Source organism: Homo sapiens, chromosome 5 (assembly GCF_000001405.40).
Source record: "Homo sapiens chromosome 5, GRCh38.p14 Primary Assembly".
NCBI classification, from domain to species: Eukaryota; Metazoa; Chordata; class Mammalia; order Primates; family Hominidae; genus Homo; species Homo sapiens.
Window position 1 is genome coordinate 136,522,091 of NC_000005.10, and position 15,897 is coordinate 136,537,987.

General features: G+C 38.5%; 1 annotated feature.

Moving 5' to 3' along the window:
* Positions 1,977-2,177: a silencer, noted in NCBI's record as "peak5484 fragment used in MPRA reporter construct". NCBI's record gives its function as "represses an SCP1 promoter by STARR-seq MPRAs in K562 erythroleukemia cells {active_cell/tissue: K562}" and the evidence as "EXISTENCE:reporter gene assay evidence [ECO:0000049][PMID:32103011]".

The window sequence follows — 15,897 nt, forward strand, 5'->3', positions numbered from 1 at the left end:
CTGATGCTTCAGACAGGTTCATGTTGGCGCACTCCACAGGGATGTGTTCAAAATGCCAGCATGGACACATGAACAGCAACAGACACATATTCAATCGACTACACAACCAGAGAAAATGCTGGAGAAAAACCAAGCTAAAAGTATCCTTCCAAGTCAGGGACATAATACTCACAGATAGACCCATCAGCCAATCTGTCTTTTGACATGGAATTGGGAAGGAAACTGAAATTGGATACATGCCACAAACCTCAAAAAAACCTGGAAAAGAACAGGGTGACACTTGGCAAACAATAACCCTGCTTTCAGATAAATGCACAGAACTGTGCCTAGATTACCCTTCCTCATCTCCAGCTTTTGGGTTCTGACTCATCCTCCATCATCAGAAATTCTCAGCAGGAGCTCTAGACCTATGAGAGTCTTGCCAAATATTAATATTCAATGTTTTTTGAGGATTCCCTATCAACCTGACACTCTGCTGAAAACTTTATAAGAATGATCTAACTTAAACCATCCAACAACTTTGTGATATAGTTCGTAACTAATCCCATTTTAAAAAGGGAAAACTGAGGCTTAGAGAGGTTAATTAACTTGAGCAGGGTCACACTGCTGTGAGGCGGTAGATCCAAGCAGGCTGGCCCCAGAGCCTATCGTCTTATCAGCTCTGCTTAGCTGCCTTAATGTGGTCACACACCCTGGAAAAATACCCTGGCTGCTCTAGCTGGCAACAAGAACTAGGGAAAACTCTCTACATAGTCTCTAGGGCCCACACAGAAACAATTTTCCTGGGCTGTGCTTTAATATTGCTCCCTCTGCTTTGCCAGAATGTGAATGAGAGAATACCCTGGGTGAACCATGCACTTGTATCATTTGTGGAAATGTGGTGAAAGGTATGTGTTCCCTGCTATTCACTAATCTAATACAAGGATTGAGTCAATTCATTTCTAAATAGTTTCACAGATTAATTTGGAGGCAATGTGTCTTAGTGGTAAAGAACACGACCTTGGGTCAGCCTGCCTGGAACAGGTAGCAACCCCACCTCCTACCGCTAACCTGCCTGAACGTCAGGTCCTTCATTTGTAAAGTAAAGATAACTATAGTTCTCAATTAATATGACTGTTGTGAAAATGGAATTAAAGCACTTAGAGGTATGCTGGGCATACTTCTAAGTATAAGCCCCCAGCAATCATTAGCTGTTAAGATTATTTCTCAGCTTGCTGTTTTCAGAAGGTAAGTGCAGTCCCAAAATCCCTTATCTAAAATTCTTGTTGCCAGGTGTGCTTTGGAATGGGAAATTTGGGGGATTTTAGAAGGTAAAGGGAATCTGTACTATGGACACCCTATGATGAAACTTCCTCAGTACGGTCTAGGTCAGTACACAGGATTATTTCTGCACCAAAGAGTATGACTTTTTACTCTAAGTGAGATTAATAGAGAAACTAAGAAGCTTCATGTCAGTTTTTGTGGTCTGGTGAGTTTCCCTGACACTCCCAACAAGTAAGTGGATAAATAAATAAGTGCATAAATAAATAAATAGGCTCCTTTCCAGAACTTTTTACACTTCAGAATTGTGAACAAGAGACTGTGGATTCCAGCTACAGGACAAAAATTTCACTGAGTGTATTAGTCCATTTTCACACTGCTATAAAGATATTTCCTGAGACTGGGTAATTTATAAACAAAAGAGGTTTAATTGACTCACAGTTCCTCATGGCTAGGGAGGCCTCAGGAAACTTACAATCATGGCAGAAGGCAAAGGGGAAACAAACACCTTCTTCACAAGGCAGCAGGAGAGAGAGAGAGGGGAAAGAGAGAGACAGAGAGAGAGAGAGAGAGAGAGCATTCAAGGGAAACTGCCACTTTTAAAACCATCAGATCTTGTGAGAAAGCCCTCACTATCATGAGAACAGCATGGGGGAAATTGCCTCCATGATCCAATCACCTCCCACCAGGTTCCTCCCTCGACTTGTGGGGATTACAATTTGAGATGAGATTTGGTTGGGGACACAGAACCAAACTATATCACTGGGCATCCAAACCCACTCCCAGCTTCAGTTATCTCCTAGCTGGAATGAATCCCTTATCAGCACTTCTAAGATTCATGCATCCCTACATGACCAGCTGCAGGAAAGACAACTCTTTGACACTTCCTACTGGCACCCCTGACCTGACTCATCACGTCTTCCCCAGCAGACCTGCTGCACCTCTTGAGGAATGTCATCCCAGGTTGCAATCACCTTGAGATCCCACCTCTCCAGCCATCGAAAGCCCCACACACTCAAGACTGTATACCTGGGCCTTACTGTATCCAGTGTGGATTCCTGAGGGGTGCTCAGACCTATTGCTGACTCTTTCTGTTCTCTAAGTCCCTCCCACATTGTCTGTACTCATTGATGGGGACCCTTATTACTGTCCTAATTGGCAGTCCCAGCCTGCCCGGTTTACACAAGTTGCTAGGTTGATCTCCCCACTGTGCTGTTGAGATTATGGCCCTCTAAACTTCAATAATCCATGTTGCATTCAGGAGGCTCCTACCTTGCTAGCCAGCATTTGAACACCTCTATAACCTCCTCTCAGCTTCCCCTTCCAGCCTCGTCTGCCCCCGCTTCACCATACCTAAGGACTCACTGTCTGTCACAGGCCTCTGCAGCTATCTCTGTGGGCTTCTGTGTATCTTGCACTGTGCCTAGAGTACCCTTTTCCATCTCCACCTTTTGGATTCTTACTCTTCCTCCAAGGGTGGAGAGAAATTGCTTTCTTTCTTGAAGATTGCTTTGATTGTTCCCGCAAGAAGTGTTCCTCTCCTCTTCTGAGGTTATTTAGTTATTGTTTCCCTTATATTCCAGCTCTTCTCCTCCTCATGGCTATTTGTAGGGAGGCTGTGTAGCATCATGGTCAAGAGTGCAGGCACACTGCCTGGATCCCAATTCTGCTTCTCACATTTGTTAATGGGAAGCCTCTTTATAAGCCTCAGTTTCCTTATCTGTAAAGTGGGGAAACCAAAATTACCTCCCTCATCAGGTGGTCTTTAGAGCACTCACTGATTTGCTGCATTTAGCAGAATGTCTGGGCTACAGTGAGTGTTTGACAAATGTCTGAGATCATTTTCATCATTCTTATTATTCTGTACATTATACCATGAGCTCCCCAATGGAAGAAACAGCTTAAGTTCATTGTTCAAATCTTCCACACTGTTTTTCATAACCCCTCACACTCTATGGGTGTAATAAACATTTGTCCAATGGAATTCTTATACTGTTATACTCCACCTTAATATTTAAGTAGCCTCAAGTCTTTTATGGAGCAAATGTTTTGGAAACTCAAAATAATGAAAAAGTGTATCCAAAGGAATAAGATTAGGTTCACAGATATAACCTTAGTATTTTTATTCAAATACATAAAAGTTACAAGGCAATATATCCATTTATTTGAATAGCTCAACCTAAATAAAATTTGGAAAAGTATGTATCCATCAGTGCTATTGAGGAATAGTGGTATGAGTAATAAATGAGGAATAAATCAGTCTGGGGTATGAGAGAAGGACCATCTGGCAGAGGCAATGGGAAGCTTCATTAAAGCTGTTAAGCCCCAGATACTAGGTCAAAAACAGAGGGATTTGTTTTGAGCTCTCTAAAACTGCAAGTATGCATAATTGCACTGTGTAATCCAGCAAACCTTTGCCCCTTCCGAGGTGCTCTGCTGCTAATCCTGCCACTGTTGCAGATGTTTCCCTTCATCTCAAAGCTTCTCCTGTGAGTTAAAGTGAGCCACAGTGGCTGAGGGCATCCTGACAGCTGTGCTGGTGTGGTTAGGGCTTTCTTAGTGGAAGCAATGCTGGAACAGGATTTATTGTGAATAGGCCCCCTTTTGTAGGCCACCCCAGGGAAACTCACGTGCATGATGTGTGATTTTCTTACCTGCTGCTAAGACTGAGAATTCACAAGGGAGTATCAGCATCCCTGGCGGTTGTGAGCAACCTGACTTGAGGCACATCTGTTGGGGACCCCATCCTGTCCAAGTGTCTGGATTCCTGTCATAGCAAAGCAGAGGAGATAAAGGCCTCTCATTTCACTGGAATTGAATGCCTTTGCCACCAATCCCTCTACCACAGTCCTGCAGTATCTGATCAGACCACCTCCTATGGTGACGGTGGGAGATCCAGCTGGGGAGATGAGGGCTGAGGCATAACAGAGACAAAAACATAGAAAAACTGCGTCTAATCCAAGTTATCAGATTTAAGGGAAAAAATGCCTTTTACAATTACAGCGTTTTCAGGCATACAGTTGAGCTGCAATGTGAACTCAACAGCATGACAGATAGAGTAGAGAGAGTCAGGCTTCATTTATTTCCAGTCCTGGAAGTAGGTGGGCACTGCCAGCACCCCTCAGAATTCCACACTGGACACAGTGAGGCCCAGATATACAGTCTTGAGTGTGTGGGGCTTTTCATGGGTTCCCCCAATTCATAATCCGTTCGTAAGTGTACCTCGATTTCTTCTAGGGGAATTATCCTTCCCAAGATGTGCAGTCAAGAATGTGGTGGCAAATCCAGGGCATATGTTCTCCCATTTTACTGTTGAATATTCCAGACCAAGACTTTTCCCTTTACTTTGATCCTGCCAGCATTCCCATAGTCTTCCAGAAAATCCCCTTACTGCAGAAGTTTGCCAGAGTAGGTTGCTATGGTTTTCAACTGAAGAACCCAAACTCAGACTCTCTCCAACCTGATGGATATCCGAAAAGGAGTCATTTTTCTTTGGCATTTCTACATACATCATGTCCATTCTTTCTATTCCCCTTCCAAGAAAGCTTCCAGGCATAGGAGCATTGCCCAGATAAGTAGAAAGAAACAAAAGACTCCCATGAGTGAATCAGCCAGGGCACCGGCTGTGAGCATTTTGAGGAGCAGTCTGCACTCCCTGGAGGTCTCTGGAGCAGCTCGAGCTGGCTGGAACCTTGTAGGAATGTGTGGGCCGAGCTGACCGGATCTCTGAAGTCTCACCAACCTAAGCATCCAAACTGTATTTAGGCTTCTGGGTTGGAAGTTTTTCCAGAATTTATGGATATGTTTTAAATTTTTGCATCAAACTGTAATGTGATGGTCCCCTCAACACCTATGTCTTGGCACAAATAAAAATGTTTAATTCTATACTAATTCCTCTGCTACTTAATTGCCTCTGTGCATTTTAGAGATCCCCTTTTTCCTCCTTTTCAATAGTCATCTTTCATTTCTCATCACCAAATTCATGTCTGCATGTTATATCCCTCTCTTAATTTTCTATTGGCTTAGAAACCAGAATATTAAGTTGGTGAAAACTGATGTAAAACAAACACGAAGAGGGCTTTCCTGGAGGGTAAAATACATAAATCTCACTGCATCGACTTTGTGGCATCCTTTCCTTCTAAAAGAGTTTTCTGTTGTATTTCAAAATGATGAGGTTGTTAGAACTGGACTTGACACAGGAGATCCCACTATGGTAATAAATGAATTTTACTTCTCTCATATCTTGCTTAACTTTCTCAGCTGCTTTCCTCCCTTCCTGTGAACTGCTAACCATCTCAACACCATTCAAAAGAAATCACCGAGTTGTAAACAGGCTGTTTTTGCTTAGACGTGCACATTAGAGGCTATTCTTGTCAGAAAGGAGGCGTGAAATATGTATCGGTTAGCTTTTGTTATGTAACAAGCCATCCTAAAATCTAGAAGTTTAAAAGGATAATCTTTGTTTATTTGTTTAGAATTTTCTGGGTCAGAAATTAGGACCAGATTCAGCAAGGGTAGCTTATTTGTGCTCCATTTGGTGTCAGTTGGATATTTCACCTGGGACACCTGGGATAGCAGGGAAGTCTGGTCTTCTCTCACCTCATGGTCTCTCTTTCTACAGGAGGCCAGCTTAGCCTTCTTCCCATGGATACAAGGTTCCAAGAGAATGGAAGTTATAAGGCCACTTGACACCCACACTCAGAAGTCCCACATTGTCATCCCTGCCATATTCTTTTGGTTAAAGCAAGTCATAAGACCAGTCCAGACTCAACAAGTGGAGAAATAGATGCCACCTCTTGATGGGACAAGCTTCAAAGAATTTGGCTATTTTCAATCTACCACAGCAGGAAATCCTAAATTAATTATTTTATAAAAGACTAATTAAGCATAAAGTCCTCTGATCCTAAAATAATCACCTTCCTCTGGCCCTAACCAGCCTTTCATTATTTGATTAGTAGTTGTGAATTAACAAAATGTTTCACATTCATTATTTTATTTATCCATATAATAAGCTTTTGAAGTATGTCACCTCCTGTTTTCAGATAACGGTTTGGATGCCCAGAGAGATTAGTGACTTACCCAGGATCCCAGCTACAAAACGACCTTAAGTCCTATCCATGTCCTCTACACTCTTCTTATAAATAACTTTGTTTATTTCAAGAGAGGCTGATCTGCTTAATTATCATCAAGGTTGGGATCAGAATTGAAGCAATTTTTCCCCAAGGCTTAAGCTTGCTAGCTCAGAGATACTATTGAAAAGGAGCACGCTGCTTGTCTGAGATGCTCTTGCCCCTAACCCATAGCCACGCTTACAAATTCCAGACATGCTTCCCAAAAGGCTGGTTTATACCAGTAACTAGACTGGCTTTACTGGGAGTAAAAGTATATACATCTGTTATTTCTCACAAAAGAAAAGCAAACAGAGTAATCTCACAAATAAAAGTAGCAGCAGATAGGGAAATTTTATGGCTTCAAAGCATACAGGGTGAAATTCTCCAAACCCCTTCCCTTCAGAAATCTACAGTGTCTAGCTTTTCCATTAAATGAGGTATGCATGCCATGTTTTATCTAGCACAACTTAAGGTTTTGTATTCAGCTGGAAATATATTTAAGCTGTCAAATACTCATCTAAAAAGAAAGAGAGAACAACTTTCCCCAAACTCTTTGAGAATTTTGAGAATTTACTAAGAAAATGCTTTAAAATGAAATCTACATAAATTGAATCACGGAGCTGAGCATCTACACTGGAATAAAAGTTCAAGAATATGTGGAGAAATTAGAGATCATTATCACCAACTAAAAAGGAATGTGAGTCAGTCTTAAAATGACTATGCTGGTACATTATTTATTTACTTACTGTTATTTCTGTGCTTCCTCCATTCTTTTTCATCTTAGATGTCAAAGAATCAGAGGGCAGCATTTGGTGCTTAGTGTAATACTGTCATTGATGTGGCTTTTGAGGCTTTGCATTTTTATCAAGTGAACTTGATTTCTTGCTTATAATTCCTCTTTTTATTCTCAACTCTTAGAGAGAGCCAGGGCAATTTCTCCAATGTGCAAGTGAGGAAACAGAGACTCTGAGAAGCTAATAGGCTACTCTAAAATAACAAAATTAGTCAAGCCAAAAGTGAGGCTTAAACCCATATTATGACTTATTCCACTGATCATATTGCTGGCATATGTTAATACATATATAATACATATATATGTGTTAGTCCATTTTGCATTGCTATAAAGGAATACCTGAGTAATTTATAAAGGAAAGGGGTTTATTTTGGCCCACGGTTCTGCAGGCTATACAAAAAGCATAGGGTTGGCATCTGTTTCTGGTGAAGGCCTTAGGAAGCTTACAATCATAGCATAAAGCAAAGGGGAAATAAAATAAATAATGTATATATAAAGAAAAGTCTAAATAAGAAAGTAAAAAGTTTCTAAAATTCCACCACCCAGAAATGATGACAGTTAACAATTGGCTCCATTTCCTTTGTCTTCAATATTAGTGGAATTATATGTGTACATTTTTATCCAATGTTTTGTTTGTTGGTTGGTTGCTTTGATTAACCTTAGATCAAGAGTATTTTTTCATGTTATTACAGAATCTTTGAACATACAACTGTAAAATGTTGCAATGACATTATGTCATATGATTATTCCATAATTTATTTAATCAATGACCTATTGTGTGGCACTTAGGTAATGTCTTACTTTTTGCTCCAGTAAATAACAATGAGATGGAAATATTCACATGTAAATCTTTTATATTTTTGGGTTTTTCCTTAGGTCACAGACTTATGGGATTACAGGGTCAAAAGCCATTATGATTGTTAAGGCACTTAACATTGCTGACATATTAAATCTGCCTAATAAGTTCAAGTGAAATGCAGGCTGTGCAAGACAATATCTCAACCAACAACAGAGTTCTTTCCTCTGGAAATTCTCTTGTAGGAGAATTAGACACATATTCAATGAATGTGGCAATCTAGGCTCTCACATATAGACTCTCCATAAAGATTGGTAATAACTTCTTTAATGGGCTTTGCTCTCTGTGTTAGCTCATTTTTCATTGCTATAAAGGAATATCTGAGAGTGGGTAATTTATAAAGGAAAGAGGTTTATTTTGGCTCATGCTTCTGCAGGCTATACAAGAAGCATAGGGCTGGCATCTGCTTCTGTTGAGGTCTCAGGAAGCTTACAATCATGGCATAAGGCAAAGGGGAAGCAAGTTTGTCACATGGAGAGAGAAAGAGCAAGACAGATGCCAGGCTCTTTTAAACAACCAGCTCTCATGTGAATTAATAGAGTGATGACTCACTCATTACCATGGGGAGGGCACCAAGCTATTCATGAGGGATCTGTCCCCATGACCAAAACACCTCCCACCAGGCCCTACCTCCAACACTGGAGATCACATTTTAACATGAGATTTGGAGGGGACAAATATCCAGACCAAATATCCTCCTCTCATTGTCCTTGTTCTAGGATCTTGCTGTTACCTGGTTGACTTGATGAGAATCTGTTAAGGCAGATCATTGTTATACCAAACACACTCTCTCTGCTATTCCATAATTTATTTCTTTGCTCACTACTCTGTTAGACTGGTTTTTGAGAAATAACATTGTCTGTATATTTTCTACTGTAAAACTACATAACTATTAATAATAGTTCACTCTGGGATTTCAGCCATCTGCTCTTAGTTTTCAAAAGAGGAAAAATTCTTCACTTTATCTAGATTGGAGAAAGGCAAGAGATCAGTGAGGGTAGGAAGAGACAGAGACTGCTTTATAATAAAGTCTTCTCTATAGTTTGTATCCTTAGATGACTCCTCTTTCCCTTCTTCTCTTTTATCATTTCTCTTTTCAAAGTAGGTCGTTATTTATTTGTTAGGTCAATACTGTGTGTCAAGTTGTGTTCTGGACTCTGAGGACAGAGAGGTGAATAACAGACATAGAGCTTATGCTCTGGGAGCTTACAAATTAGTGAAGGTGATAGATAATTAATTAAAACAAAGTTTGGTGAATAATTGGATATAGTGGAGGATCAGAACCTAGTCAAGTGGCCTGCAAAGGCCTCCACATAGAAGTGGGATTTATGTTGAAACTTGAAAGGTAACAATAAACTAGTCAGACCAAAGTGGATAAAGGGAAGTGAAATGGTCATGTAGGAAGAAGAATTTCAAGCCAGGAGGAATTTAAATTTTCATTTATGATTTAAAAAAATTCTCAGGAAATTTGAAATATAAGGACACTTTCTTAAACTGGGAAAGGATAACTATAAAAAAAACCTACTGCAAGCATACTTCATAGTAGAATGTTAATGCTTTCCTACGTTGAGAATCATGTCATCAAGAGAAATTTTAAAATAACTAAATAAATAGGTGGATATACTATTTTCATGGACTGAAAAACTCAATATTATAAAGAAGTAATCTCCCTTACTTGATCTTATATTTCAATAGAATACTAGTCAATATTTCAGAATACTATTTGCGGAAGATCAAAAGCTGATTCCACAAATAAAAACCATAATGAGCTAACACTACCTGTCCACTAGAATGATAAAATGACAAAGACTGGCAATGCCAAATGTGATGGTGAATTTTAGATGTCAACTTTACTGAATTAAGGATTATCTATAGATCTGGTAAAGGATTATTTCTAGGCGTGTCTATGAGGATGTTTCTAGAGGAGATTGGCATATAAGTCAGGGGGCCTAGTGGGGAAGATCTGCCCTGAATGTGTGTGGGCACCATCCAATCAGCTAGGAGCCTGGATAGAACAAAAAGACAATTTTCTCCCTCTTCTGGAACTGGGATACACTTTTCTCATCTTCATGGATATCAGAACTCCAGGTTCGCTGGTTTTTAGACTCCAGGACTTATACTAGTGACCCTGCCTCATCCCCTCGAGTTCTGAGAGACTTCTGCCTTGGACATAGAATTTTATCATTGGCTTCCCTGAGTTTGAGGCCTTTGGACTTGGACTGAGCCACACTGCTGGTATCACAGGGTCTCCAGCTTATAGATGGGCCTGGCCTGTTGTCTCCATAATCATGTAAGCCAATTCTCCTAATAAATCTCCTCTCATACATCTCTATATACATCACATTGTTTCTGTCTTTCTAGAGAATACTGACCAATACACCAAATATTTAGCAAGGATGTGAAGGAGCTGGAATTCTTTCAACTGCTATTGGTGAAAGCACTTTCAATACTATTTCTCCATTAAAGTTGAGTATATACATTTTGTATGATCAATAATTTCATTCCTAGGTATATATTCCCTCACCTCCAATGCCTATAAAAGCTTCAAACTAGAAATAACCCAAACGTTCGTGATCTCTAGAGTGCATCAATAAATTCACAGTCATGCAACAAAATATCATTCAGCAATAAAAATCAGTGAACTAAACCTACTTGCAGCAATAGGAATGAATCAGACAAATATAATACTGAGTGAAAGAATACAGGCACAAAACAATGCATACTGTATAAGTCCAATTCAAACATAGGAAAAAATAGTCTATTAAGTTAAATGTCTGAATAGTAGTTGCCTTTTAGAAGGCATGCAGTGATGATTGGAAGGAGATATGTAAGTGACTTCTGGGGTACTGGTAATATATTATACTACCCAATTCTGTGGGTATGTTGACTTTGTGATAATTATTTAAACTATATAAGTTGAACATATTTATATGTTATACTTCACATAAAGTTATAAAAACCTATAAGAGGAAACTAAAGTGAACCTAAGACCAATTTATAGCTTTAAATGCACATGTGTGAAGAAGATGGAATAACAATGGGCTAATATCCTCTTGAATAGAAGATAAATATAAAACAAATTAAATCCAAAGGAAGTGAAAGAGGGGAATCACATAAGAAGGATCAGAAATTAGTGAACAAGAAAAGAAATATGCAATAGCTAGGATACACAAAGTTAAAAGTTTCTTTAAAGATGAATAAAACTGACAAACCTCTGGCAAAATGAACCAAGATGTCAGCAATAAAAAGGAGATATGACTTCATATTATGCAGATATTTAAAAATAAAGGAAATTATGAAAGAGTTATGCCAATAAAATTAAAACTTCAGATGAATTGGCCAATTTCTTAAAAAACTTTATACAAAGAACAAAAAATAGAAAATTGAAGACATTAAATCCATAACTTAAAACCTTCCAAGAAAGAAAACTCCAGAGACTACTTCATTTGTGATTTTTATAAAATAGTTAAAAAATAATGCTATACTTTTACAAAATCAGAGATCAAAAAAGAGGGTGTAGCTTTTTAAAAAATTTTAAAAATTTTGTATTGAGACAGGGTGTCACTATGTTGCTTAGGTTGGTCTTGAACTCCTGGGCTGTAGAAATCTGTTCGCCTCAGCCTCCCAAAGTGCTGAGATTACAGGCATGAACCACTGTACCCGGTCAAGAGGGAGTAGCTTTAATTTATTAATGCAGAATAACCTTGATAACCAAACCCGACAAAGACATTAGGGAAAAGGAGATTTTATAAGCCAGTCTCACTAACATACATTGAAGGAAAAGTCCTGAAGAAAACAGTAGTGAACCTAGATTAAATCCTCTAAATGAAAACATGGGAAAATATCTCCATGACCTAGTAGGAACAAAAAATCTTAAATGAAATGCAAGAGATAGATAAGTTGAGCTTTATTGAAATTAAAACTTCAATTCCACAAAATACATTATTATGAGAGTGAAAAAGAGGGTGAGCCAGGTGTGGTGGCTCACACCTGTAATACTAGTATTTTGGGAGGCTGAGGCAGGAAGGTCGCTTGAGGCCAGGAGTTTGAGACCAATCTGAAAAACACAGTGAGACCCTATCACTACAAAAAATTAGCTGGGCATGGTGGTCTGTGCCCGTAGTCTCAGCTATCTGGAAGACTGAGGTGGGAGGATCTCTTGAGCCCAGGAGATCAAAGTTGTAGTGAGCCATGATTGTACCACTGCACTCCAGCCTGAATGACAGAGTAAGACCCTCTCTCTCTCTCTCTCAAAAAATAAATAAATAAATAATAGTAATAATTAAAAAATAAAAGGAAGATAGGAAACTGTCAGAGGCTGTTACAGTTATCCAGGGCCCTCCTTCCTTCCTGCAGGATGCTGCCTCTATTCTCTCTGCCTGGATGCTCAGTACATACACTCTTTCTGCCTAGCTACTCTAACTTGCCCTTCAAATATCAGCTCAGTCTTTCCTTCCTCTAGGAAGCTTACATTTTCCTTCTCTCCATTAAACTTCATTGTGGGTTTCATAATATTTATGGCTCGATTATGAGAATTATCATATTTGAAGCTTTACATTTATTTGAATGCTTAGTTGGTTAGTATCTGCTTCATCTACTAAATTGTGAAGATCAATCATGTTTGATTTTTGCACAATTACTGTATCTTCAGTGCTTGTATATAGGGGCTTAGTAGATATTTTTTGTTTGTTTGTTTGTTTGTTTTTTTGAGGCAGTCTTGCTCTGTTTCCCAGGCTGGAGTGCAGTGGCTTGATCTCGGCTCACTGCAACCTCTGCCTCCTGAGTTCAAGTGATTCACCTGCCTCAGCCTCTTGAGTAGCCAGGATTACAGGCATGTGCCACCATGCCCGGCTAATTTTGGTATTTTTAGTAGAGACGGGGTTTCATCATGTTGCCCAGGCTGATCTCAAACTCCTGACCTCAGGTGATCTGCCCGCCTTGGCCTCCCAAAGTGCTGGGATTACAGGTGTGAGCCACCACATCCAGCCAATATTTGTTAGATGAATACGTGAACAAAGGGATAGATGAATAAATACAATTCTGCATGAGCATCAGAATAGAAGTCAGGAAAAAGTAGGGGGAAGAGTACGAATATGGCTATAAAAGGGCCATATGAGGGATCCTTATAGTGATAAAAGGGTTCCCTTATCTTGACTATATCAATGTCCATATCTGGGTGTAGCAAAATATTACTACTGGGGGAAAATGAATAAAGGGTACATGGGATCTCTCTGAATCTACAATTAACTCAAAATAAAGTTTAAAAAATAGAAGTAATGCCCAACCAATAGAAGTTGGCCTAAAACACTTTTCTCTCCATTGAGTTAAAAGGTGAAGAAAGCCCCCAAACAATTTAGTGTGGCTGCTGATAGATTTCTCCATTAAATGACAACTGTCACAACAGTGGAGTCGATATGCACATCTACATTCTCCTCCTGTAAATGCTTGGCTAGAGGAAAACACTCAGATGCAATTTTTGGGAGGTATAGATGGTATCAAATTTGAGTTAAATGTTCCATACATTTTGCTACAGTTTGGGAGGAGCAAAGGGTGGCCCTTTTGAGGATGCTATATCCTCTGAAGTCATAGTCTGGCATTACTGGTATTGTAAGAGATGAGCACAGGATTCAGATCTATCTTTAAGTATCCTGGAGAAATATATCTTCTCTTCACGCTGTGCTCAGCAGAAATACTAAACTTATGATGGAAGTGACTATAACTAGGCCCTGGTCAGAAAGTTGTCTGTGACCTGCAGAAGCCAGAGTATTTGCCATTGGTTTAGAAAGCTGAGAGAAGAGAACTTTTAATGTATCAGCGGTAGCTGGGCTCTATCCCAATTGGGAGAAAAAAATATTGCAAAAATGTCTTAGTGAGACGTTATTTGGGGACACATAAAACAGGAGAGAGACTCTATAAATGAGGTTATATTCAGAGATCTATATAGATGATCTCTATTACTTTCTCTCTATATATATGCACACCCATAAACATGTGTATTTCTTATATAATCTGAATATGACTATATATACACATATTTATAATCTTATATTAGGATTTTCTTTCTCTTTAGGCATGTTGTGGTAGTTGTGGGAGATTCCTTCTAGATTTGGTCAGTGTCTGGTTAGTATAAATGTGCATTTTTTTTCCTAAAGCATAAGGAAAATTTTATTTTAAATTCTTATAAACTAACTTTTCAAAAAATTCATTTGTGTATTTTTTATATAGTTCGAGTACTTCTTTTGATTTTTCCCATAAGTTACACCCTGCCTCCTCCTTTCTACTATTTTCTTTGATTACTATTCTCTCATAGAATTTGCAGGACAAAATAACCCTGCAATTGTATATTGTAACTGCTCAATAATAGCAAGCTTAGTGCTTGAGAGCTTCACACAATGGGTTGGTACAAAGATAGGACCCCTTCAGGTCATCTCTGCTGAAGATATTTATCATCATACAGATGTGAATAGACCCATCTGAGAAAATGGTTTATGAAAAAAATAATAATTCAAAGGATGTTGGATGAGAGTGGCCAAAATTCCATGGTCCACAAACCCACTATCAAATGAGAATAACAAAATAACAGAACACATAGAAACAGCATTTGATTGTTGCTGAAATGAAAGAAGGTTTGTGGGAAGGAAGCTGAAGATCACTGGGTAGAATCAAGCCTTGTTTGGAAATCCGATTACTAAGAAATGAGAGGGAGTAAGCAGCCTATTAGATTAAAGGGCTCATGAAAACTTATCAGCCACTCTGAGCACAGTTGCAGAGGCAGTAATGAAACCACTAAGATGTGCAAAGATAGACATAGATTTTCTGGGGGAAGAAATATCAAGAAAAATGGGGGTGAGAGTTGGCAAATACTTTCTTGCCAACCTTCAAAAGCTCTATTCTTTGCAACTAATGGATACTATGTTAGTCTTTATAAAGCTGAGCTCTAGGTAATTATTTTTCTTATATAACAAAGTGCCTTAGAAAATAGACCCAAAACAAAACATTGCTAGGAAAAGAACTTAAAAAACTTAGGTTGAAGATTTCAGAGGTAAGTTATTTATGGCTTTCTTAAAAATCTCTAAAACTAAGCAGAAATTATGATCAAGGTCACAATATCACATATTCAGAATAACTATGGGCTAATTGAGTTTTATGTTCTTAGGTAAAGAAAGAAAAAGCAACAAAGAAAAGTGAACAGGCCTCAGAGACATGTGGTAGAGTCAACAAAAGAAAACAGGGAACCATGAACTGTCTATTGGAGACATACTTTTGATTCAAAGACACAAACAAGTTGAAAGTAAAAAAAATGGAAAAAGATATATCATGAAAACAGTAATCAAAACAGAGCTGGATGGCTACACTAAAATCAGAAAAAAAAAAGCTTTAATACAAAAATTTATACTAGAGACAAATACATTTGTAAATCCATATTCATCTAACAACAGAGCTGCATGAAGCAAAAATTGACTTTGAATTAAAGGGAGAAATAGACAATTCAATAATAACAGTTGGATACTTCAATGACCCATTTTCAATAGTGGATAGAACAACTAGACAGAGACAAACAAGGAAACAGAAGACTTAAATAAGTATATTAAGCAACTAAACCTAACAGGTATCTATAGAATGCTCTACCCAACAACAGCAGAAACACATTCTTCTCATGTTACATTGTCTAGATTGGCCATATATTAGGCTATAAAACAAATCTCACTAAATTTGAAACAAATGAAATCATACAGCTTTGGTGCTACAAACACAAATAAATTAAATTAGAAGTCAGTAACATGATGAGATTTGGAGAAGTTGTAAATATGTAAAATTAAACAACACACTCCTAAATAACCAATGGGTCAAAAATATAAAATTAGAAAATACTTTGA